This window comes from Homo sapiens, chromosome 15, assembly GCF_000001405.40.
Source record: "Homo sapiens chromosome 15, GRCh38.p14 Primary Assembly".
NCBI lineage: Eukaryota > Metazoa > Chordata > Mammalia > Primates > Hominidae > Homo > Homo sapiens.
The window spans coordinates 96,242,585-96,267,976 of record NC_000015.10 but is presented as its reverse complement, the minus strand read 5'-3'; the positions used below and the strand labels follow the sequence as shown (position 1 = coordinate 96,267,976).

General features: G+C 39.9%; 2 long non-coding RNA genes across 3 annotated transcripts in view, besides 1 other annotated feature; one reads left to right on the top strand and one right to left on the bottom strand.

Annotated features, from left to right (window-relative positions):
• The window catches only part of LOC124903584 (uncharacterized), a 31,799-nt gene extending 7,177 nt beyond the window's left edge, over window positions 1-24,622 (bottom strand). The window contains exon 1 of the long non-coding RNA XR_007064801.1: window positions 15,772-24,622. This is a non-coding gene — a long non-coding RNA (uncharacterized LOC124903584). The remainder of the gene's footprint in view (window positions 1-15,771) is intronic.
• Window positions 1-25,392, top strand: part of NR2F2-AS1 (NR2F2 antisense RNA 1) — a 200,002-nt gene that overhangs the window by 59,385 nt on the left and 115,225 nt on the right. The window contains exon 8 of one of the 2 annotated variants that reach the window (NR_102743.1): window positions 1,388-1,591. The exons of the other annotated variant lie outside the window; for it this stretch is intronic. This is a non-coding gene — a long non-coding RNA (NR2F2 antisense RNA 1). Of the gene's footprint in view, window positions 1-1,387; window positions 1,592-25,392 lie in introns of those variants that run through there. 2 annotated transcript variants of the gene reach the window in all.
• Window positions 15,074-16,273: an enhancer, noted in NCBI's record as "MED14-independent group 3 enhancer chr15:96794933-96796132 (GRCh37/hg19 assembly coordinates)". NCBI's record gives its function as "activates an origin of replication core promoter dependent on BRD2, BRD4, P300/CBP and CDK7 cofactors, and independent of MED14, by STARR-seq in HCT116 cells {active_cell/tissue: HCT116}" and the evidence as "EXISTENCE:reporter gene assay evidence [ECO:0000049][PMID:35650434]".

The following is a 25,392-nucleotide window of genomic DNA, read 5'->3' as shown; positions in this document are numbered from 1 at the left end:
ATGTTAGCAAAAAGCTTGTTCTTTGATGATAACTTCCTAGGATGTACATTTTACTAACAGAAAAAAAAAGTGGAAGCAATCTCCCATGATGGAAACCATGAGATCTGTTTGAATATTCAGCAGCAACAATTTGCTCTATGCAAAGGCTTGAGTCTTTGCCATTGGCCAGGAGGGAGGAGGGTGCATTTGTCTGTCAAAATTAAGTCCACCAGTCAGCCAAGCATAGGGTCCTAGATTGGCAGAAGTGTCCTATTGTAATCAGAGATACAGTATGCCTTATGATTAGTCCGTTTAGTACCATGAAAAGGGTAGCACTCAAACTATTTCTCGGATTTAGCGTGGTGAAACACGGCAGCACAAGGAAGTAGAATCTGGTATTGCTTTGCACATCCAGGGATTATAGTCATTCCTGTATTTAATTTGTAAATGGTAAATAGCTGACCAGGTCTTGTTAGCATGACTGTCTCTACTGTGCCCTCTTGGATTTCATTTTAATAGTAATGACACTTTTACACAGTAATACTATTCATGTAATAATGATATGTAAAACTCAAAATAGTCCGTGTATTACTGATAATTTTATATTCATAAAGGATTTTGCCCTCCCCAGGTTCTTGTTTTTAGATCCTTGGGTTCACTAGAATCAGGTCTATTATTTAATTTTTTTTTTTTTTAAGGAAGAGAAAATTGGGGCTCAGACGTTAAGTGACTGGCTCAAGGTCACACAGAAAAATGAGATGCTGGGGCTCAGCATCAAGTTCTTAAGTCCCTGGGTCAGTGCTTTAAGGTACCCAAAGTTGCAAAGCAGAAATTATTCTTAAAATGGCGGGTAATCTCTTTTAGGATTTAATGATAAGTGAATGAATTGGGAAAGGATCCCATTGAAAAGATGACCATCATTTACACTTGAGAGCCTGTTATTCTCCAAAGCTACCTACTAGGACTGAAATTCGCATGTGCATGTCAATTAAAATTAAGTTTCCATTCCAACCATTTAAGGTGAATTAACTTTCATCATTTAAAAATGCAGATATGAAATGTTTTTCAACATAGAGACTTGGGCACCATCCTGGATGGTAATCTGGTCTTATGAATCCACTGGGCATTATATTTTTGTTTCTGAAGAAAATATCCTTGTTTTCCTCGTGAATGCATTACATAGGATTTTTAGAGATCATTTTGTGAAGAAGGGAGTGAAATATTGGCAAATGATATTAAATAACGCTGTGATTGTGACTGAACAGATTAAGACTTTGTCTATACGACACCAAACATCTGGATGAAAATGGAAAAAAGAAAAGTAAAAATCCTTGATGTTCTGTTTACTTGATACCATACATCTGGATCTTTAATAACATCTGGATTTTTGACTCTTTTCTCCTCCTAGGTTTCATCTGGGTGTTTGGCATCATGTTCAGAAATGTGAAAAATAAAATTCAGCACCGTTATTACTGAATTAGATAAAATGATTGTATTTAATTAATCCGTAAATATTAACTAATTATTCTGTTTACCATAACATGTAATGAATATAATTCTCCACCAGGCAAATAAAGAAAGAAAGATGTAATTAGGTGATTTAAGCATAAAACTTGGCTGAAAGCATATTTAAATCTTGGTCATAGTTTACTGGCATTAATTTCCTTGGGCAAAAATCTTTGTAGGTCCTCAGACAACCATTTTCTCTTCTGAGGAATAGATTTCCCTCGTTCTTCTGAGGGTCTGTTCATTTACAATGTGTTTTGACAGTAGTAAAATTTAGTAAACATTCAGTAACATATGAGATACATCTAGTAATAGATGTTTTCTTTGCCAAGTGAATTATCTGGGGCTGATAAAAATCAGTGTAAAACCCACTCTCAGAGCAGCCTTCTGACATGCCTGAGGCTGAACCCCGAAGAGGAATCTACTGAAACTGGACTTGAAAGCCTTTGTCACAATGAAAAGCACCTTCTGTGACTGACATTCTTTTGTGATCTCCTCCAAAAAAGTTATCATAATTATTGAACATTTCCTCTGTAGCTTATTCTCAATCCAATCAGTTATAATGAAAATAGTCTGCTTGCTTTTTATATTCTTAAGTTTTCAAAATGATTAGTGCTTCCTTGAGATATCCCATTAATTGGACACACAACCCAGATGAAAAGGCTGAAACCCAAGAGTATATAAAAAAACATAAGGTTGTTGCAATTTAAGTGCCTTCAAAAGATCTAATTTGATTTCTAAAAGCAATTTTGCAGATGTGAAAATTAAAGGCACGCAGAAACAAGATATGATTTAATGAACGTGTAGGTTAAGAAACATTTAGAGGTTTCAGTAGCTTTACTCTGACGTTTTTGTTTGTTTGTTTAGCTGTTATGTTGGAAAGATTGAGTCCACAACACAATAAAAATTACTGAATTTTATGGGTCGCTATTTCCTTGATCAAATTGTCCCATTCTTCCCAACATGTTTCTGAAGCAACTTTGTATTTCTGTCTGCAGATTTTCAGGTCCAGGACCCGTCAATCAAATTTCAGATTCTAATAAAGTCCAAGGGTCTCTCCACTTAGGTTTGTCTTAGCTGTTTCATCAATGAGCCCCTCCCCCTTTCCCAGCAAATTGCACACTTATTCCCACTTAAAAAAAAAAAAGAGAGAGAGAGAGAGACAGAAAAATAACCCTTCCCACTGGTTCTAATGACATCTTCAGTCATTAATGAGTTAATAAAAATCTCGAAGTCATCTGGGCTAGATAAGAAAGAAGAAAGAAATGTATTGTACTGTAATGACAGGCTCTCGAGCTGCCCTCTGAGATGTCATGGGTCAGTCATGTTAAGAATGTGTGCGTCCAATCATCTGCTGATTTTTATCAGCAAGCTCTCCAGCAGGAGCTGACAAGGGCCAGTTTGGGAGTCACAATGAATAAACAATGACTTTTTGGATTGTTGGGGGCTGTGTAATAGAGTGAGGGGTTTATATATACTAAAACATGATGACATTAGCAATCAATATACCAATTACTGGACAAGTTATTGGAGGAGGCATTCACGTGTCTTCAGCCTGCTTGCACTTTGAAGGGGCCTCTAGCAGGGAGAGTCCGTGTGCCCAGAGGCCGGCAAAGGTTCAAGACGTCAGGCCCAGATCTAAAAGGCAAGCCCCTCTTCTCAGGCTGAAGTAGTCCAGAGCTGGATGATTTGAATCCCCTGGGGAGTTTATTAAAAATACAGATTCCTGACTTTCCTTCTTAGAGAGTCCATCTCAGGAGTCTGGGGCTAAGGGTGAGACTTAGTGTTTTTAACAAAGTTTCCAGGTAATCCTGATCGGGAGCATTAGGGAACTGCTGTACAGTTGTAATTCCCAAAGTGCTGTCCCCCAGCCAGAGCAGCTGCATCCCTATCACCTGGGAGCCTGTTGCAAATGCACATTCTTGGGCCCCTCCCTAAACCCACTGAAACTGAAACTCACTAGGGGTGGGGCCTAGAGATCTGTGTTTTAACACAGCCCTCAGGTGATTCTGATGCACTGTACAGTTTGAGAACCAAGGCTGTAGTACAAAGATCCTTGCCAAGGTGTTGCAACACAGCTCTGTCACCTGTAGCCTCTGAGGCTCCTCATGGGTAATTTGTTACTTGTACTAGTTAGAGTGCTGGAGTTTGCAAATGATTTACTTAAAAAAATTAAATTAGAGTAGATCCAAGATTATCTTCACAGTCATGCCACTCTCATTCACTTGCATACTGCTAGGCTTTCTTGAATGATCTTGATGTATGAGTGACTTTGGTTATAGAATAGGAAGAATAAACATAGCTTTTGTCTATTATTTGAAGTGGAAAGAGAGAGTGGATTTGTACATAATCTTAAAAGAAAAGGAGTCCATAAGAAAAATCAATGTACGTGAAGCATTTATTTGATGTATGACAAATATTTATGTAGGTAACCAGTGCCACTTGTGAAACCCATGGGCAATTGGTGAGGTCTACTGTTTTCGTCTTTGGTAGCCACAGAACATGCAACGTGTCTTAATTAGAAGAAGAGAATATGCACGGCCCAAGGTCAGCATATCCTCAGAAGAGGAATGGCGAAGACCTTCTTGCAGTTGGGTTGAGACTTCCTTTATTCAGCCAAGGGTCCTCCTAAAGGGGCTTGCTCAGCTTTCAAAAGAGGTGGACTCGTTTGTCAGCCATGCAGTAGATTTAAATCAGTGTTCTCCAGAAGACGTTTGAAATAGTAATTTCATGTCTCAAAACATTGATTTAAAAAAATGTCCGGGGTCAAGTGAGAAACAGTAGATTAACCTGAGTTAAATATGATTGTTTGCAGCAGGGCCCCCAAAGCCTCCAGCACATTACTATGCACTGTGAATCCCCAGGACATTTGATCTTCAATAGATCTGATTACCCAAACCGTTTTATAAAGGATAAGCTTGTAGCATTGGTGTTCAAGGAATAGACTTTCAGGAGACACAGATTCCTATTTTCTAAGATGGCAACAACCTGTTGGTAGAAGCTAGTTCTTTTATATATTGTATAGTAAGGAACCTCTTCCTTTATTCTAATGTATCAAACCCTCTGTGTCTGGCGTCAGGATTCATTATGTGGTGGCTTGACGCCAGCAAAAAGGTTCATGTAACACTCACCAAAGAGTTAAATAAGTTGTCCAGTTGTTGATGGTTTGGTTAAATTATCCCTGAATTTTTGGCATATCTCCCAGAACAGGTACTCATAAAAAAAGAAAGAAACCTGGGTTTTGCTAAGTGAGATTACATTGTGTTTTCATATATGAGGGATAATTCCAGTGCAATACTTGCCTATACCCAGAAACTGGCTGCATAAGCAGACGGGCATTGGGCTGGGTCTGATGTTAGAAAGTACTTCTGCCCCCTCCATTGACAGTACTTCCCCCGTCTTTTCTAGCTCACGGGGCTCCAGATGGCCATAGCTGTGGTAGCCATCTTTGTCCCCGTACTGGCTATTTCTGAAGGTGAAAGGTTGGGGATATGTATTACAGAGGGCAGGTCAGGAAGGATTTAAGCACATTACTGGTTGTAAAATTTCTTTTCTTGAAGTTATGGCCAGAACTGTGCGTTCGTTAATGCCAAATGTTAATTCTTGCTGAGGACATGATGTCTTATAAATGTTGTAAAAGAATATCATTTTTCCTGTAGCAGGGCAGGTACTTTTAAGGCCATGTTAAGAAAAGGGCTAGTTTCCCCATAGCATCTGCAGGTCACCTGCTTGCTTATAAATCGTCTCTATGCTAACATCCCTTCCAACTGTTACACAATAGTTAGAAGAAATTGTCACATGGTAGAAAGAATAGAACTTAGCTGACATTTGAAAGACGTGTAAAGATTAAAAACAAGCAAACAAAAATTCCTCCAAAATAAAACAACCCCACCACCCTTGTTAATATTTGTCACCTTTTCTACATAGTTTTACAAGTCTCTGCTAGACTCAGAACTCATTAGGATGTGTCTCTCAACTAAAAATAATAGAGCAGGTTCAACTTTGGGAGGTCCTAAAGCCCTTTTTTCATCTCCTTTGTAAATATATCCCCATTGACACCACATGTGCTTCCAAGCTTTCCAGACATAAGGCGTTTGTATGATGGGATTCACTCTACACCCTCGTAGAAAAGAGCAGAAGTTCAACACAGTTAACGGAGATCTACCCACCACTGGTCTGGTTTGTTATGTAGTTGAATATTTCTCCCCTTTATATTCTTTGAAATGTTTTGAATTAAAATAGCTTACTCAAGGTCACTGAAGGCATATGGTCCTGCTCAAAACTTTAAACAAAACATTAGTTTTTACAACCTTTTGTAATTTGGTATTGTATACAACATAGCTATATGCGGAGTTTCTGTAATCTTTTCAGTGGGTGACAGAAATATGAGAAGCAAATTTATAAGCCATTTAGTGAAGCATTTAATCAATTTCATGCATAGAAAATAACTCCGATTGCTTTGCTTTATCAATCTTTCTTTCCAGCAAAACTCTTAAGTCAACAGCATCTCCAAACACTGCCTGGGTGGGGGAGGGGCTGGGGGCGGGGTGGAGAGCGGGCAGGCACCTTTCCCTGCACACAAATGTCAGGGACTTCAAAAGTCTGCCTAAAAGGGCTTGCCAGCATCTATGAGGCTTCTGGAGGCTGTTAATGTATTTCAGAAAGAAAGCACGGGTCTAATGTTTAGAGTAAGTTTTCAAGGCCTTTTACTGTAAAGTTATTCATTAAACACCCTTTTCCCAGAGTGACTCTCACATGCTCAGCAGTGCAGACTGTGTTCAACATTAGGCTCAAAGAAGTATTTTTGTAAAAACTGTTTCAGTGGTTATGACTTTTAAATACATGAAAACTGAAATGACTCACATTAAAACTTAACTTCTGAATTAAGGAGTTGAAGCAATGCGACCAAAATACCTGAGATTCACCAAACAGAGCTATTTTAGCAGTTTTCAGGATACTTGAACTGTTTTTTAGAGTTCATGTTCCAATTCTCTTTTTGAATTGCTTGGAAGATTAATCCATCTCTTGGCTACATAGTGAGTTAATATTTTCTTTTCTGTCATGTGCTAGAATGTCTCTTACGACATTTTACCCCAAACACCATCAAGTTTTTAAGTGAAAAAGTCCTAAGGGAGCAAAAGATGATTTTGCCAATAATCATTAACTGCTAAACTGTATTAAAACTGCATTAGCTCTACCTTGTCCTCTAAATGGGAACTGATATGAAAGTATTGCAGATATACTTTCTAATTTAGAAAATAATTTGCTACCACTGATTTTTGAACCTAGAAAAATATTCCAGTGAATAAACTCCAGTCTAGATTCCTCTTTTTTTTTTTTTTTTTTGAGATGGAGTCTCACTCTGTAGCCCAGGCTGGAGTGCAGTGGCATGATCTTGGCTCACTGCAACCTCCGCCTCCCGGGTTCAAGCAATTCTCCTGCCTCAGCCTCCCGAGTACTGGAACTACAGGCGCACACCACCACACCCGGCTAATTTTTGTATTTTTAGTAGAGACGGGGTTTCACCATCTTGGCCAGGCTGGTTTTGAACTCCTGACTTCGTGATCCACCCGCCCTGGCCTCCTAAAATGCTGGGGTTACAGGCGTGAGCCACCGCACCTGGCCTACATTCTTCAGTTCTGATTTTAAATCGGCTCCATTCCTGGACCTCATCTCAGCCTCCTGATGTTTCACTCTGCCTTTTAAATATGACATATGCAAGTATTTGCCTGTGTTGGCAGTTTGGTGGCATGCCATTGATGTTTATTTTGCTACACTACCTAACTTGTGGGGGCCCCATCATTTTATTGAACAGAGTCGCCTTAATAATCTTGCATAAAATTGGCAGCTCTTGGGGAAACTGGCTATGCAAGTAGCTTGGCTGATTTGTCTATCTCTCTGTCTCTCTGTCTCTCTATCTCTCTATGTATTTATCATTCTTTCTATTGTTATTCAACCATTAAGTCTTGCATTACACCAGTGCCTCACTGACTTTTAAATGATCATTTTGAAAGAAAGATGTCTTTGGTGTAAGATCTGATATTTAATGCGAAAAGGGACTCCTTAGAACTAAGGAGTTTAAAATTTTCAAATAAATTTTGGAACACCAAACAATTACCATATACTTATTCTACTTGTAAATATTAAGGTATTAGAGGATAAGGCTAAAGTGCTCTTTGCTATGACTTCTCTGCCTCCCTTGATGTGATCTATGTTACCAAGGATGTGCATCTTGCCAGTCCCTTTTCTGTCCAAATGAGTCACCAAAATGTGCTATATCGTATGTATCATTGCGCATTTGTTATTTTCACTTATCCATGTCTTGGAGATCTTACCTGGTTAGGAGAAACAGGTATACCCCATTCTTTCTAACTGCTTAGAGAATTTCCCGTGATGCAGGTAGACCATGCTCTCTGAGTTTTTCTCCTATGATGTGTGTGTAGATTCCTTCTACCTTTTCTCTATTACAAATAGCACTTTAGTAAATATCCCGGTACATACTTCCTATGTACTCTAGTATTTCTCATATGCTCATATGCATAATACAATACTCATATGCCATGAGTACTTCTCTAGTATGGGCACTTAAAGTGAAACTGCTGGGTCATAAGTATACATATTTTATGTTTTACTAGTTACTGCCACATTATCCAGCAATTTTAATTTTAAATGAAAGTCCTACCCTAATCTCTGATACAGCTTTTCTCAACTCTACTGAAACCTACACATTGCTACAGCCAGTCTCATTCTCTGTTAATAATTTTGCTTCTGCTTCTCCAAGAAGATGGAAACCACCCAGAATGCCTTTTCTACTGAGCTTTCCCTTTTCTAGGGCAAGCTGGGGCCAGGCAGGCTAATCATGGGGGCATAGCCAGATGTTCAGAAACGGGGCTGCTCAGGGCCATTGAGGTGACCAGACATTCAGAAACTGGGGAGCATCAGGTCAACAAACGAAGCCTGTTCATCTTTTAAAAATGCATCAACAAAGTCAGTGACACATTTTCATTTTGATCATAACGTTGATGTCCAAATTCAAACAATTGCCTCTGACAGTTTTATAGCTGAGGCCTACACATTTTTACTATTTTCAAAGACAGCCTTGGGGGCAAGGTAGAAAGACTTATAATCAGACTTGTGGTGTTTGTTAGGATTTAGGGCCCGGGAAGGGGATGCTCCTGGGAACAACTTTCCTTATCCCCTTCACTCAGTGTTTTTCTTGTCCTCTGTCTTAGAGGACATGTCTTAGACCCATGACCTCCTTCCCAGACTTATTGCTGCCTCTTCTTTCAGACTCACCTTTAAATCGTTCTAGTGGCTTCATGTTAATTTGTCTCTGCTAGTCTCCTCTTTCTTCCATCCATTTTACCCTGCTAAATCTTCAAGAAGTACAAATACGGTTTTTAGTTTTTTTGTTTGTTTATTTTCAAGAGACAGTGTCTCCCTCAGTTACCCAGGCTGGAGTGCAGTGGCACAATCATAGCTCACTGCAGCCTTGAACTCCTGGGCTCTAGTGATCTCCCACCTCAGCCTCCAGAGTAGCTAGTACCACAGGCATGCACCACCAGGCCCAGCTAACTATTTTTTATTTTTTGTGGACATGGGGTCTCACCATGTTGCCCAGGCTGGTCTCCAGTTCCTGGGATCAATCCATCCTCCCACCTTGGCCTCCCAAAGTGCTGAGATTGCGAGCACGAACCATCCTTCCTGGCCCCAATCTGGTTTTGATTGGCTATTGTTTAACATAGCTTCTTACTACTCATGCCCTTTATGCTGCCATTCAAAGTCCTCCATGATTTTTTCCCAAACTTGTCTTTTAAAACTTCCTTTCTTCTTCTCCTTTATGTATATTTTACTTAGCAAAACAACATGGTTACCCTTCCCTCAACTTTCCTGCCTCTTCACTCTTCCCTTGGCCAGAATGCTCTTTCCTCAACTGCAGAGAAATCTGCATCTTCAAAGTCAGGCCACTCCATGAGGCTTTTCCTGTCTTCCTCATTTTCTACCAAATGAGTCTGACTGTTAATAGAAGACAACGACAGGGATTAAAACGGGTGCAGTGGTTCACGCCTGTAATCCCAGCACCTTGGGAGGCCAAGGCAGGTGGATCACCTGAGGTCGGGAGTTTGAGACTAGCCTGACCAATATGGAGAAACCCCATCTCTACTAAAAATACAAAATTAGCTGGGCGTGGTGGCATATGCCTATAATCCCAGCTACTCAGGAGACTAGGGCAAGAGAATCATTTGAACCCGGGAGGCGGAGGTTGTGGTGAGCCAAGATCGCGCCATTGCACTCCAACCTGGGCAACAAAAGTGAAACTGTGTCTCAAAAACAAAAACAAAAAAAAAATTGGAGAGGGAAACCAGAAGTCAGAGGTTGGGCTAACCTCTAAGTCCTAAGTGAAATGGCTCAACCTGGTATAACCTAAATAAGGGTTACACACATTCTAAGTGATGGATGTATTTTCCACTCCACAGTCTAAAACAGAATGTGAGAATGTAATCTAGTTGTAGCTGTATTAAAATGTTATGCTACAGTTAAGTCTCTGTTCAGCTCCTACTCTAGTGCAGGCATCTAATCAGGAAATGGCCTCCTGTATAACCCATGGATTGTTTGTAACTCAGGACCCTAAGTGCAACGAAGCTAACCCTATATATATTAATAACATATTTAGACTATGTTATGTATACCAATTCAGAGATGAAAATGATACTTTGAGTCTATTAGTAGAACATGTAGTTTCAGCTGATTTTTAAGATAAAAAGGATCTGTTTTATACAGTTTTCTCTACCCTTTTCTGCCTGTTCCCCCTGTAAGTAATGGTATACATTTATGAGAAGCCTAGTGGAACTTAGCCATGGAATCCTGGTCTTGCACGAGCTTTTTCTTTTTTTCTTTAAGGATAACTGTCAAATATTGGGATTGAATCTCTAAAATTAGCTTCTAGAATTTATGTGTTATAATGAAAAATTGGAAGCCAACTATATGTCCAAGAATAGTAGATTGAGTCCATACATATAACATATCAATGTTGAAATATTATATGGGCTTTAAAATGTTATAAAGTCGTATTAATATTTAAAAAGGTTTTAGGGTAATCGTAAGGACAGGTAAAAGGCAAACCCATATTTAAACTTAACTTTATATGGACTGTGAACTTGTCAGGGTGATAGATTGAGAAGTTATTTTATTTCTTTAAAAAAATTTTAAAATGTGGGCAAGGTGCATTGGCTCATGCCTGTAATCCCAGAACTTTGGGAGGCTGAGGGAGGTGGATCACTTGAGGTCAGGGGTTCAAGACCAGCCTGGCTAACATGGCAAAACCTCATCTCTACTAAAACTACAAAAATTAGCTGGGTGTGATGGCACGTGCCTGTAGTCCCAGCTACTCCAGAGGCTGAGGCAGGAGAATTGCTTGAACCCAGAAAGCAGAGGTTGCAGTCAACCGAGATTGTGCCACTGCACTCCAGTTTGGGTGACAAAGTGAGACTCCATCTCAAAAAACAAACAAACAAACAAACAAACAAAGTTAATGTTATATTGAGTGGACATTGAATTTCAAGCATTACAGTAGCTGTATTACTCCTAGCTGAGTGGTGAGAGCTGGATCAGAGAAAGAGGATTCTGTCTTTTCCTAGCCTCAGAAAGGCAGCTGGAGGGGTTCCCCCAAAACTAGGGAAGAGCACACATTGCTGTTGCAAACAAGGAACTTGAGATGGGCAAACTTAAAAACCACCCTGATTTCACTTGAAGAGACTGGTTTAAACAAACACTTTTTTTTTTTTTTTTTTTTTGAGACGAAGTTTTGCTCTTGTTGCCCAGGCTGAAGTACGATGGCGCGATCTCGGCTCACCACAACCTCCACCTCCCAGGTTCAAGCGATTCTCCTGCCTCAGCCTTCCCAAGCAGCTGGGATTACAGGCATGCGCCACCATGCCCGGCTAATTTTGTATTTTTAGTAAAGACGGGGTTTCTCCATGTTGGTCAGACTGGTCTTGAACGTCTGACCTCAGTTGATCCACCCACCTTGGCCTCCCAAAGTGCTGGGATTACAGGCGTGAACCACCGCGCCCAGCCTTAAACAAACACTTATAAGAGAAACCTGAAGCCTCAGTATAAGGGTAGAACTCATCATAGCTATTCCTGCTACTAAAAACACACCCAGATATCCTGATTTTTTATAGATTGATTATCTTATGAGAGGACGAAGAAAACTAGCCAATGGGATTGCCAATGCACCTTACTAGTCTTTGAGGAATTGTAAAAAATGGAAGAATTAGTGGAAATTTAGAGACATGCAAATGAGGTTTTTACTTTAAAAAAATATTCTGAAGGTGAATTTTGGAAATGAAACACTTGATGGCCCATGAATTAGTTGTTGAGCTTCAACAGAATTTAGGATACATTTTTAATTGGATATTTGGTAAACCTTTATCAGACGATGATGGAAATCTAGAACATTAGACTGAGAAGGAAGTTGGAAATAGAAACAGTTCGCTTAGATCCCTCATGGATTCACTAAAAACAGCTCAAGTCATGCTGACTTATTTTTTTTTTTTTCTGATAAGGTGAATGTGTGGTAGGAAGGGATGCCATAAGCCAGCAAACTGTAGTCTCTTCAAACTGTAAAGTCAAGAGGAAATCACCAGGGGATCTTGTTATTTAACCAAATGCAGATTCTGAGTCAGTAGATCTGGGGTTGGGTTTTAGTTTCTGCATCCTTAAGAGACTCCCAGGTGACACTGATGCTGCAGGCTCATGGGCTGTACTTTGAATAGCAAGATTTTAGACCATGGGCCCCTAATACAGCTTGCTAAAAACCAGATTTATGCCCTCTATGTCCAAAGTGTCTGATTCCATAGGTACAAGACTCTGCTTTTTTCCAGGTGTCCAAGGTAATTGTATTGCATGATCTCATAAGGAACCATAGCATCAGACACTACATAACCAGTCACAATGCACAATATCATTATAGTTCTTTTTTATTATTTTTTTTAATACAGAGTCTCGCTCTGTCACCCGTGCTGGAGTGCAGTGGTGTGATGTCAGCTCACTCATTATAACCTCTGACTCCCACATTCAAGCGATTCTCCTGCCTCAGCCTCCTGAGTAGCTGGAACTACAGGCACCCACCACCACACCTGCCTAATTTTTGCATTTTTTAAGTCGAGTCAGGGTTTCACCATGACCAGGCTGGTCTCGAACTCCTGACATCAAGTGATCTGCTTGCCTTGGCCTCCCAAAGTGCTGGGATTACAGGTATGAGCCACCGCGCCCAACCAATATCATTATAGTTTTTACAGTCAGTTGTATTTATAATTGGTTGGACCTTTTTTTTTATTCTAGATAAAATTAATTACTTCTACCATGGTAGAACTTCTTTACCGTGTACATTATTGCATATTTTATGTTCTGTCCTTGCACACCTTGGCTCGCAATAACCATGCCCTCTTACCAACACACGCTTAATAGAATTTGTATGCACAGTTACATTTTTTTTGGAAAGGAATTGAGCATTGACTTGTTCTACATCCCTAAGCCTCAGGCTCTCCTATGATCAGTGAACACGATAATACCTGCTTTATTGGGGATCAGATAAGAATAATGTGAAAGAATCTCCAAGGACTGACCTTGTAAATCAGTAACTCTGGGTTCTAGGCTCTTCCCTGCCAAATTTGACATGATCTCAGACAAGTTGTCAGATGTCTCTGATCTTCCCTCTTCCACCAGTAGCAACAGAGTTTTTAAATGTATAAAGTGCTAAACAAACTTGAGAGAGTTTTATTGTGAGCAGTAGGAAAATGCATTACTTTTTAATTTAATGAAATGAATATCCAAAATTAATTGAACAGCATTGAATTAATTAATATATCGTTAATTTCTACATGAATTCTCTCCATTAGCAGTGCAGTGTGTCTTATAAATGTTTGCTAGAGGAGTCTTATATGTAAGCATTACTCACTGGTAGAAGATTCTCGCCTAATACATATGCTAAATTTCCATCTTCTTGCACGATTCTGGTTAAGGATCGTATTATTCCAGCCTTAGTTGTCCCCGAGGTATGCAGGAATTTCTCTCTTTTGTGTTGTGCAACCCATTGTGAAATCACAGTGCCATCAGCGCTGCTATCTGTGTGTTGCTAGAAGTATAATTTTCTATACCTGTTTGTCTTTGGCCAGAGAAAGAAACCAATAATTGCATGTTGACCTTGCTTGCTGCTTCTTGGGCCACCATATCCCACTGGACTGTGAAATCAGCATTTCTGCGATGCCTGTCTTATTTGTGCCATTCTTTGCCTGAACATTCTTTCCTATGGTGAATTTCAGAAAGAAGAAATACAGATAACTATTTTTCAAAAGTTAACTGACCTAAATGAAGACCTAGACTGAAGGAAGTCCAGCTGCCTACTTTTAAATATAAATTCACAATGACCCAGATTAATAGACCTTTGAGCCAGAAAAAGGTTGAAAATGGTGAAGGCAACTGAGATACGGTAGGTGAAGAATAGGGGCTCTGGAGCCACATGGCCCGGGCTCTTATTCAGCTTCACTGCCTTCTGTGTGGGTAATCTCTGGTTACTTAGTTCACTTTGCTAAGCTTCAGCTTCCTTCTCTTTGCAAAGAGGATTTAAGAAGGTAATCAATTCTGCTAGAATCTATACCTGGCAGAAAGAGAGTTTAGTTTTCCCTCCCAAAGCACTACAAATGCTTAGAAAAGTCCCCAGCACAGAATAGGTGCTCAGTTGATGTTTGTTGAATGAATAGCTTTCTTCCAGAATGATAGAAAATACGTGTCTTCCTTAAGGTCCTGCAAAATGTTTCTCCACATGCCTTCTCTCCGAGCACTCCTTCACTGGAATGTTTTTATTGTTCTTTAACAGTGAATGGCCCCAGCATTTTGTTTATCATGCCAGAGATAAACCAGGGCACCATTAAAAGTCTAAACCCTTCCATGGACTTCCACATCATCTAAAGTGTTTATTGACTTGAACTAAAGTAGATGCAACAATTTGAAGCTTCAACCAAGTTTAGTCTTTTTTTCTTTTTTTACTGTTTACAAAACAAGATATTTTATGGAAGTAATTTATACATTGAATAGAAGAGGGCTATTCCCAACATTATCTTTATCTTGTAGACATAAATAACAAACAACTCCGGTAATCAAAATTTACTACAATTGTAATAGATTTTGGCAGAGTTTATGTATTGTATGCAATGCTAACATAACGCTGAGTTTCAAGGATAGAGGCCAGGATTCCTAGTTTGGCTTTGTTAAATGGGAAAAAAAAAATCACTACTGTATTCGTAGTGTTTACTACATTTAAGAGATTAATTCTCATAAATAAAATTGTTTATACCAGCTTCTAATCAGAAAGTTGAAATTATCTGTGGCAATGTAGCCCACTAAAAACTTGTATACTATGAAAATATTTCAATAATTAATGCATGCTCCATCTAGAGGAATCGACAGTGAGGTCATAAACGTAATGGGCCATCTGTGTTTGATTTGTACGTGAAAATGCTTAAAGAGATATGCAGGTAATTCAAGCTTCCCTGGCAAGGAAGATTTGCTCCAACTTCTCCAAGTAGCAGTGCCATTTATTAGATTTTCTTTCTTTTTTTCTTAAAGTTTTTTCCAGGTTTTTATTTGATCTACGTACTTCTCACTGTTTCTTGTTCTAATGCAACAATCCCTTTTAGAGTTTTTGGTACTCTAAAACCAAATTAAATTGGCTCATGTTCATTCTTAACAATTATACTTGGTTCCCCTAATATTTTTTTTTTTTTTTTGAGACCAGGGTCTCACTCTGAAACCCACAATGGAGTGCAGTGGCACAATCACGCTAAGTGCAGCCTCAATCTCTCAGGCTCAAGTGAACCTCCTACCTCAGCCTCCCAAGTAGCTGGGACTACAGGCGTGAGCCACCATGCATAGCTAATTTTTTAGTTTTTTGTAGAGACAGAGTCTTGCCATGTTGCCCAGGCTGATCACAAACCCTTGTGCTCAAGCAACCCTCCCACCTCAGCCTCCCAAGGTGCTGGAATTACAGGCATGCACCACCACGCCCTGCCTCCTAATCATTTCAATGGCAACTTGAAAGCCACATGTCTTATTACAATATTAGAGGCTCACTCCAGTGACTAATTCTTCTCTGTCTGACCACTTCAAACTTTATTATTGCAGTTTTTGCTTTTTTGTCGGTTAACAATTAACCAGCCCTGCTTATATGTGTTAACGAAGAGTGATAGGACCATTAAGAATCTTAGTCATGGTTTTGTAACTCACCCCCGCCAGCATGGAGCAGAATCTCTTATTTCTGGAGGCAAGACAACCTCGGTCAACATCAAAGGAGGTTCTAGGATTTTCTATGGAAGAAAACCAAAGAGCATTGAATAATAGCTGAGACCTGGACCCAAAACTGTGTCGAGGAACACACATTCGACTAGAATTTACCAGGATTTATCATCTGCTGTGTGCTGTGCTAGGCACTGAGGACATAGTGAATGAAACCAACAAGGTCCCCATTCTCATGGTTCTTATATGCTAGTAAATGTGACTTCCTCCTTAGAGGTACTCTTAAGTTCTACAACTAGGAAAGTAAATGGATTATCTCCCTTGGTAGACCCCCCCAGATCTGTATCTCCTCCTGTATTGCCTGTTTGGGGAAAATAAGCCACCATCTACCCAGTCACTCAATGCAAGACCCTAGGGTCATCTTGGACGATTCTCTTCCTCTTTCCTCTCCATCAAGGCGATTCACAAGTTCTGCCAGCGCTGTTTATCATCGCCTGACTCTGCTTCCTTCTCTTTATCCCTACCTGTACAGCCACAGTCTTAATTCAGTTCCTAAAAATTTTTTTGCCTAGAATCTTGCAACAGCGTCCAGTATTAATTCCTTACCATTCTATTCTCCATACTGCTGCTATAGTGATATTTTAAACATTATTATGTTAATAAGATTATGTCATTTCTCTGTAGAGAGTCCTTACTGTAAGAGTTCTACAATTGTCTTGGAGACAAAACCCAGACTTTTAACATGGTGTACAAGAAAAACTTTTGCTAATGTGGCCTGGGCCTGCTTCTACTATGCCATCTCTCCACAAATCCAGCTCTCTAGTCCTGCAGAAGTCTATTTGCCAGGCACATTATACCTTAGTGCCTTTGACCATGCAATTCCCCTTGCCTGGAATCGCTGACTTTCTTTTATTCACTTGCACAATCTCTCTTCACTTGTAAAAGCTACTCCTAGAGATGTTGCTCTTTCTGCACAGCTTCTCTTCCTTGATGCTTGCCTGGGTTATGTGGACACTTCTCAGAACACTTTGGGTCCAGCTCTGTGGCAGCATGGTGCAGCTCTGTTTACCTGCCCCAGGTGGTCAGTCACACAGTGCCTGCATACATATGGGAAGTATGCTGAATAGGAGGTGTTGAAGGACATTCACTACGTGTCCAGCACTGTGTTATGTGTGATCAAAGGCATGATAGAATCTAAAGGCAATTCTCAAGAGTCCTTGTCTTTAAGTGGGATGGCAACAAGATGTCTACCCTCTACCAATCTGTTATTTATTTGGAACTAATTGTTAAATCACCCTTATTCTCCACTTTTCCAGGCTAATATTTCTTTAAAGTTTTTAGCTTTTAAAGTAATTCTTAATATTCGGTTCTGTCAGTTCTTACAATTCTTACTTACAAACATATGCCTTTTAATAGCTTTAACCTAGTGCCCTTAATATTTTTCAAAGGCACCTGAGAAAAGTATAAGAAAAAATTTAAATTCATTTTATTCTAATTTTTGAAGTAGAGAGGAGGTTTTCGGTTCCACTGTGGCATTCTATATAATGTCAATCAACCAAACAAAAAGCAAAGCAAACAAACACCAACCCAGCTCTTCATGTATTGGTATTAAATAGATATAATAGCGGGGCTGGACGTGGTAGCTCAGACCCATAATCCCAACACTTTGGGAGGCCGATGCAGGTGGATCACTTGAGGCCACAAGTTCGAGACCAACCTGGCCAACATGGTGAAATGTTGTCTCTACTAAAAATACAAAAATTAGCCGGGTATGGTGGCCTGCGCCTGTAATCCCAGCTACTTGAGAGGCTGAGGCAGGAGAATCACTTAAACACGGTAGGCCAAGGTTGCAGTGAGCCAAGATGGTGCCACTGCACTCCAGCCTAGGTGACAGAGTGACACTCTGTCTCAAAAAACAAAACAAAATAAAAAGCAAAAAGATGTAATATCTGGATATGTAATTGAAATTCTACTTTTTCAGATACATGCTTGGTTTTGAGTAGACATAACCACCCTCTTTGTTTCCTGTAGAAGTAAACAAAATACAAGCCACATTTTTAATCAGAAAAATGTAAATAGAAAAAAATACAAATTTAATAAAAAATCTAAATTCAACTCCTCACTATTTCCTGAACACATGCTCATTAGCTTTCAGTATATGAAGTGTACTTCTAGAATGATAAGAAAAATAGGCACTTTGAAAATTAATGAATGTGATTAAAATATGTAGTTAGGCAAAGGGTAGTTTAAGAAACTGCACAGTTATACAAGGAAGAAAATGGGCTGAGAGAGTAAGTACCCTCCATCTGAGATTGCTTGTGACATGGCCAAGGGCCTTCAGTGTGCCCTGCATCCTAAGATGCTGTTGGTGGGGCAGAGTGGGAGGACTTAGCTCCACCTTTGTTTTTCTTCATGCACCAAGCTAGGGAAGTCAATTTTGCCTTCAACACATAGGACTTGATTTCATCATTATCATCAGAAAAAGTTTTATATACCTTTCTGTGTATTCAAAACATGAAAACAAGAATCTTAAATAGCTATAGACATTGCCACCCAGATGTTTTGAGTTCAAAGTAATTAACAACATGGTAGGACACAATAAACAGAGCCATCTTTCAGACAAGTGCACAGCCTGATGAGACAGCAGATTAAAGGCTTAATAGGGCCAGGTGTGGGGGCACATGCCTGTAATCCAAGCCCCTTGGGAGGCCAAGATGGGAGGATTGCTTGTGGAGTTCAAGACCAACCTGGACAACATAGCAAGACTCCATCTCTACTCGCCCCCACAAAAATTAGCCTGGCATGGTCGCACACACCTGTAGTCCCAGCTACTCGGGAGGCTGAAGCAAGAGGATTGCTTGAGCCCAGGAGTTCGAGGCTGCAGTGATCATGCCACTGCACTCCAGCCTGGGCAACAAAGTGAGACTTTATCTTAAAAAAATAAAATAAAACAAAACAAAAAACGAAGGGCTTTATTGAGGATGGTTTCAGCTGGCTAAGTTCCAACCATGTTTCCCATCAAAATATGGTTTCTTGTACTTCTTTGTGACATTATAAAAGCAGTACATACTCAAAACAAAGAAAAATTAGAATATACAAAAAGCAAAACTAAGAAGAATACCCTGAAAAATAATTTTTTCCTTTTCTACAAGTTAGCCAATGTGATGGCATTGGTATATATCTTTGCAGATGTATAAAATAGCATGCTATTCTACATATGTTTTGTAACCAGCTTTTCCTCTTAACATAGCAAATACATTCATGTCACTAGTCCTATCTAAGGTTATTTGCTTGAATAAGAACCTACCACTGGTCAAGAAGGCACATTACATGATACATAGCAGCTCACATACTATCTTTTTTAAAAAATTAAAAGATACAGACAACTGAGAATCATACATAGCTACATTAAGTTAGCATGAATCTTTATTTTAAACATTTAGATGATCTGCCTTGTAAGCAAATCAGTTCAGTGTTTAAGAGTGATGAATAACAAAGTTGGGAAGGTGAGTGGAATATTTTAAAATAATTTGATAAAATAGGATGGGACTGGGTTTTGGAGATGGATGGATGTTTGCACCCAGCTTCCCCAAGCCCTAGAATATGTGTAGGTGAGAATATCTAGCACTGTGCTTGGCACACTGTGGGCCTGGGGAGAGTTGGAACCCATTTAAATTAGCTGGAAGAAGCAGGGATTCAGAACACAAAGATGGTAAAGGTAAGCAGTGTCAAGGGGAGGCAAGAATGTGATGGAAGTACTAAAATGACTGTGTCTCAAAAACAGGGAGAGTGTTCAATAAATGGTGCTGGGATCGCTGGCTGGGCATATGCAGAAGAATGAAACTGTACCCCTGTCTTTCACCACATACAAAAATTAACTTAAGATGGATTAAAGATTTAAATGTAAGACCTCAAACTGTAAAAATTCTAGAAGAAAACCTAGGAAATATTTACTAGACATCATCCTTGTAAAGTATTCTTCGCTAAGTCCACAAAGGCAATTGCAACAAAAGCAAAAATGAATAAGCAGGATCTAACTAAACTAAAGAGCTTCTGCACAACAAAAGACTCCATCAACAGAGTAAACAGACAGCCTGCAGAGTGGGAGGAAATATTCACAAACTATGCATCCTATAAAGGTCTAACATCCAGAATCTATAAGGAACATAAACAATTCAACATGCAAAGAACAAACAACCCATTAAAAAATGGACAAAGGACAGGAACAGACTCTTCTCAAAAGAGGACATACAAGCAACCAAAAAACATGAAAAAATGCTCAACATCTCTAAGCATCAGAAAAATGTAAATTAAAAACCACAGTGAGATACCATCTCACACCGGTCAGAATGGCTATTATTAAAAGTCAAAAAATAACATGCTGGTGAGGCTGTGGAGAAGAGGGAATGCTTCTGCAATGCTGGTGGGAATGTACAATTTCAGCCACTGTGGAAAGCAGTTTGGAGATTTCTCAGAGAACTTAAAAATGGAACTAGCATTCCACTCAGCAATCCCATTACTGGGCATATACCCAAAGGAAAATAAGTTGTTCTATCCAAGAGATATATATATACTTCTATGTTCCTTGCAGAGCTATTCACAATAGCAAAGACATGGAATCAACCTAGGTGCCCATCAACTGTGGATTGGATAATGTGGTACATATACGTCATGGAATACTATGCAGCCATAAAAAGAACAAAATCATGTCCTTTGCAGCAACCTGTTTGCAGCTGGAGGCCATTATCCTAAACAAACTAACACAGAAACAGAAAACCAAATGGCACACATTCTCACATGTAAGTGGGAGCCAAATATTGAGTATGCATGGACATAAACAATGAACACTGTAGACTGCTAGAGCAGGAGGGAGGAAAGGGAGCATGGGCTAAAAAAAACTACCTATTGAATCCTATGCTCACTACCTGGGTGATGGGATCATCTATACCCCAAACATCAGCATCACACAGTATACCCATTTAACTAACCTGCATATGTAGCCCCTAAATCTAAAAGTTGAAATTGCTAAAAAAAAAAATAGCATAAATAAATAAACTTAGATATGCCCCCCTCCAAAAAATGAGGAGAGTTTGGTGGTGGAATGAGGAGGGAGAAAATGCCCTCAAGTGCTATACCGCAACAGAATCCCTGGAAGATGAAGGAGAAGAAGATGATGGCAGCTAATGGATAGCATTTACAATAATGATGACAACACTGGATCGCGCTTACATTTCCCATGTACCAAACAGGGGCCTCTAAGCACGTTGCATATATGAACCATTTAATCTTTACCACATTTTGTCTGGCCTACCTTCTTTTTTTTGAGGTAGGGCCTCACTCTGTTGCCCAGGTGGGAGTGCAGTGGCATGATCTTGGCTCACTGCAACATCCGCCTCCTGGGTTCAAGTGATTCTTGTGCCTCAGCCTCCCGAGTAGCTGAAATTACAGGCTACCATGTAATTACACACTACCATGCCTGGCTAATTTTTGTATTTTTTTCGTAGAGACAGGGTTTCAACCATGTTGGCCAGGCTGGTGTTGAACTCTTGACCCCAAGTGATCCACCCGCCTTGGCCTCCCAAAGTGCTGGGATTACAAGCCACAGCACCTGGCCCTGACCTACCTTCTATGGCTATAAGGACTAAATGAATTTGTATTTGTAAAGTCCTTTAAATAGTGCAATATAAAAGTTTGTTAATAAAGCACCCTTTTACTGAGACACACAGAGGTTAAGTACCTTGCCTGAGGTCACGCAACTACTCAATGGAAGAAGTAGAATTAGAACCTGGGCCATCTGGTACAGGAGCCCAGGCTGCCCCTGAGAGATCTCTGGTCAACTCAGAAAGTGATGGGCTGTGGCTCCTCCTGCCCTGATTTCACCTTACCCACAAAGAATGTCAAAGGAGGTGCTGTCTTTCTCCATGGGAGAAATGGGAATGACCATTACAGCCGAAGAATTCCAACAATGGGCACCTGCTGGCGAGCTGGGGGCTGCATTACTTCTGCCCCATCTCACCTCTTCCCATCCACTCCATCCCTCTGTCTTTATTTGAGGTGACTGCGTGGGAAAGGCACTCTCTTAGGAGGTTTGATGTGACATCATTTAGGAAAATGGAAACAAAATACAGACCCAGTCTGTAGAAATGTCACTATTACTGGAAAAGGAATTAAAATCTCCTTAAATAACCAATGTTTTCAAGATCTCTGGGTGAAGACTCAGAGTTAAGGTCCTCCCTTTCTCATTCTTTTCTCCGTTCCTCTTCCTCTTCCCTGGTTTCTGCCCCTCAACTATTGACCTGCCTATCTCCCTCTCCCCACTGTAACAATAATGGTCATAACAAGAATGCTGGAAGCTCACAGTGACTGAGCTCTTGTTGTGTAGCAGGCATGTTAATTCATGATCTCCTTTAATCCCTGTAACAGCCTTGTGAAGAAGTGACTATTTTCTTAACCTACTTTATATGTGAATAAATTGAAGTTCAAAGAAGATAAATCATTTGACTGGTAAGTGGAAAGACTGGAATTGGAGCTCCAATCTCTTGCTAAATCCAATGCCACACTTCCTCTCCTTATCCCCCAAGGTACTGGCGCCAACTCCACTAAGCATTCAGTTTTCCAGCATCACCTGATTCTTGGAAGATAAGTGGGTAGACATGCATGGGCCTCCCTGAGTTAGATACTCTGGCATGTTTCACAGATGGTATTCCAGCCAGTTGGACTGTGCCTTTTAGCCAGAAAGGTTATGAAATGCACCAAATAGGATCACAGGATTTGTTGTCAAGGCCAGCCCCTGTTTATTGAGTGTCTACAATGGCCTGGCACTTGTGGTAGCTGCAGAGAGAAATGCAGTGGCGGAGGGGATGTGATCCTGCTATCAAGAAACTTAGCATTTGAAAAGGAAAATGAGACCAGCTCACATCAGAAGAAGAACCTAAGAAAAACATGGTCAGGGGGATTCTTTGGGGATCGTGCCTGAGTGTCTACCCCTAACACTTTTTCCCTTTTCAGCCCCTTCAAGCCATGAGGTACCAAGGCCACCAGTGGGATAGTGAACCTGACGCTAATGGGGATGCTGAGACATCTGAGGGTTGAGTTAGAGGTGAAGGAGCAAAGAAAGAGAAAGCCAGCCTCTTTTCAAGGTCTGGGCAAAGAGAGCAGATTGTGTGCCTCCTGAAGGAAGCCCTTCACATATCTTCATCAGGATGTGGTCCATGGAAGGACCCTCTACTTCTGCTAATCATGGTAGCCCTGGAGGAGTGAGGCAGAAACTAGCAGATGAGCTTCTGCATCTGGTAGGTTGGGTGTCCTGCCAGTCCTTTCAGTGCCTCAGCAGATGGTAACAGGAAGATAAACTTCCCTACCATTTTGGACTTTCTCCTTGCCCAGAACCAAACATCTGACCTCTACAAACTAATAGAACATGACCTTCAAGAAAAACTATGGCTTCTCCAGTGGGATTCAGGAACTAGAGGAGAGAAACCCAGATGGTTAGGACAGACGACTCATTTGCTGATAGAAGAGACGGAGAGATGAAGATGAAAATAATGAGCATTCTCAAAGATGTGTCATTGAAACACCACAAAGATCTTCTGGACCTACGTTCATGATGTCTGCACTGAAATAGCTATTAGATGAATGAGGGAAAAATGGCATAATTCTTGATAGCAACTGAATTAGAGAGCTGCAGGATTAAGTAAAAGGAAATACAACATGCCGCAAAGATGGAAACACATGAGTGAAAACGTAGGTGACTTAAAGCACAGATCCAGGAAATGGAACATGCAAATAATAAGCCATCCAGAAGAAAAAAAGGAAAGGGTGGAAAAGTGGTTACTATATCCAAAATGAAGGAACATTTCACTGAGCTGAAGGAAGAAGTTAGTTTCCTGATTACAAGAGCTGAGTCTAAGTAAGAATTAAGACAAAACAAAACAAATCCAAACAAAAACATGTAACTCAACATATCCTCATTAAATTCATGACTATTCAGTGTACTAGACACTGTGGAGTTTCACCCAGATACCCCCTTCAGGACTGGGGCGCCCTAACTCCCCACCCACTGCTGTCCATATCCAATACTGGTTGATGCAACGTACAAAGGAATGGTTCTCTTGTCCCAATATGAAAACTCAAACTCAGCTCCCATAAGATCAGCTGAGGCCTCTGTTAAGGCTGCGCGCAGCTACTCAGTTATTCCCTTTGCCCAATCCTGCCTCTTTATTCCTTATAGTCATTGTTCTCAAGAGCACTCCTCTGTAAAATTCCTCCTGCCCACAAATCCCCATCTCAGAATGTTTCCCAGGGAACCTGACCTATGACACTTTATACTAAACAAAGCAAAACAAAACGAAACAAAAATCCAAAAACAGAAACGAAACAAAATTCTCCCTTAAAAAAACCCCTAAACTAATGACATTTTCTAATAGAGCAATCTGATTAGTTGAAAATAAAGGAGAGCTGGGTGTGGCAGCTCATGCCTGTAATCCCAGCACTTAGGGAGGAAGAGCTGGGAAGATAGCTTGAGCCCAGGAGTCTGAGACCTGCCTGGACAACATAATGAGTCCCCGTTCTCCACAAAAGAAAAAAAAAAAAGCCAAAAAAATTAAAGGAGAATTGGACTAGTGTTATGCTTGTCTGCCATATGGAAAGCTGAAAGATGATAAAAATTAAGTGTATAGAGAAAAGCCAACTGAAAGCTAGAGATGGTGAAATAAAATCTATTGTGAGAAAAGGTCTGAAATCAAAGAAGCGTATAATTAAGAAAATATTGTTTATTTGGTTCCAAAGAAAGTTATTTTGGAAACAGGTAAGGACTCTGTTTATTACCCCTATAGCCTTTCTGATTAAAACACTGCAGAAAATTATCTACCCGAATGACAACTGAAAACAATGGAGATCTCAAGACCGAAAGGATCGGAAACAATGGATCATGATAATGATGTAATTGAGATGTTGTAAAATATTGGTGAGTATGGATTATTGGAACAGAAAGAATGAGATGTTGGGAAAAACTCTGGATTTAAGAGGTGTGGCTGTGTGTGATGGTAGGGGATAGGGAAATTAATATCACAGTGGGAGGAAATAATTATTTAATAATGATATGCTAATAGGGGAGTCAACATTAACTTCAGTAGTTATGGAAGGAAGGTGATGTTTAGCACATTTGACAAACAAAAATACCTTGCAAATTACCAGGAGGAATAAAAAAAAAGAAGAGAAACTTAACGAGGTCAGCAAAAAAATATAAAAACAGGTAAAAAAGAAACAATAGCAAAATGTAAAAAAATTGAAATTAAATATAAGATGGAGGAATTAAGTAGATCAGTTATTACAAGAAATGTAAGTGGATATAATTCCTTTTCAAATGTCAGACTAGGTTAAAAAACAAAACCCAGCTTAATGCCCCATACAAGAGTTATACCTATGACAAAGTGAAATACTGTAAATTAAGGGTTGGGCAAAGACATCGACAACTGCAAAGAATAACAAAACAACAAACCCCAAGGTATGAAAGTTTGGATTCATGAAACACTTCAAAGAAATATACTATGTAATGATAAAAGGCATAACCTATTAAGGAAATATGATGAACACAAAATATCAAATAACACA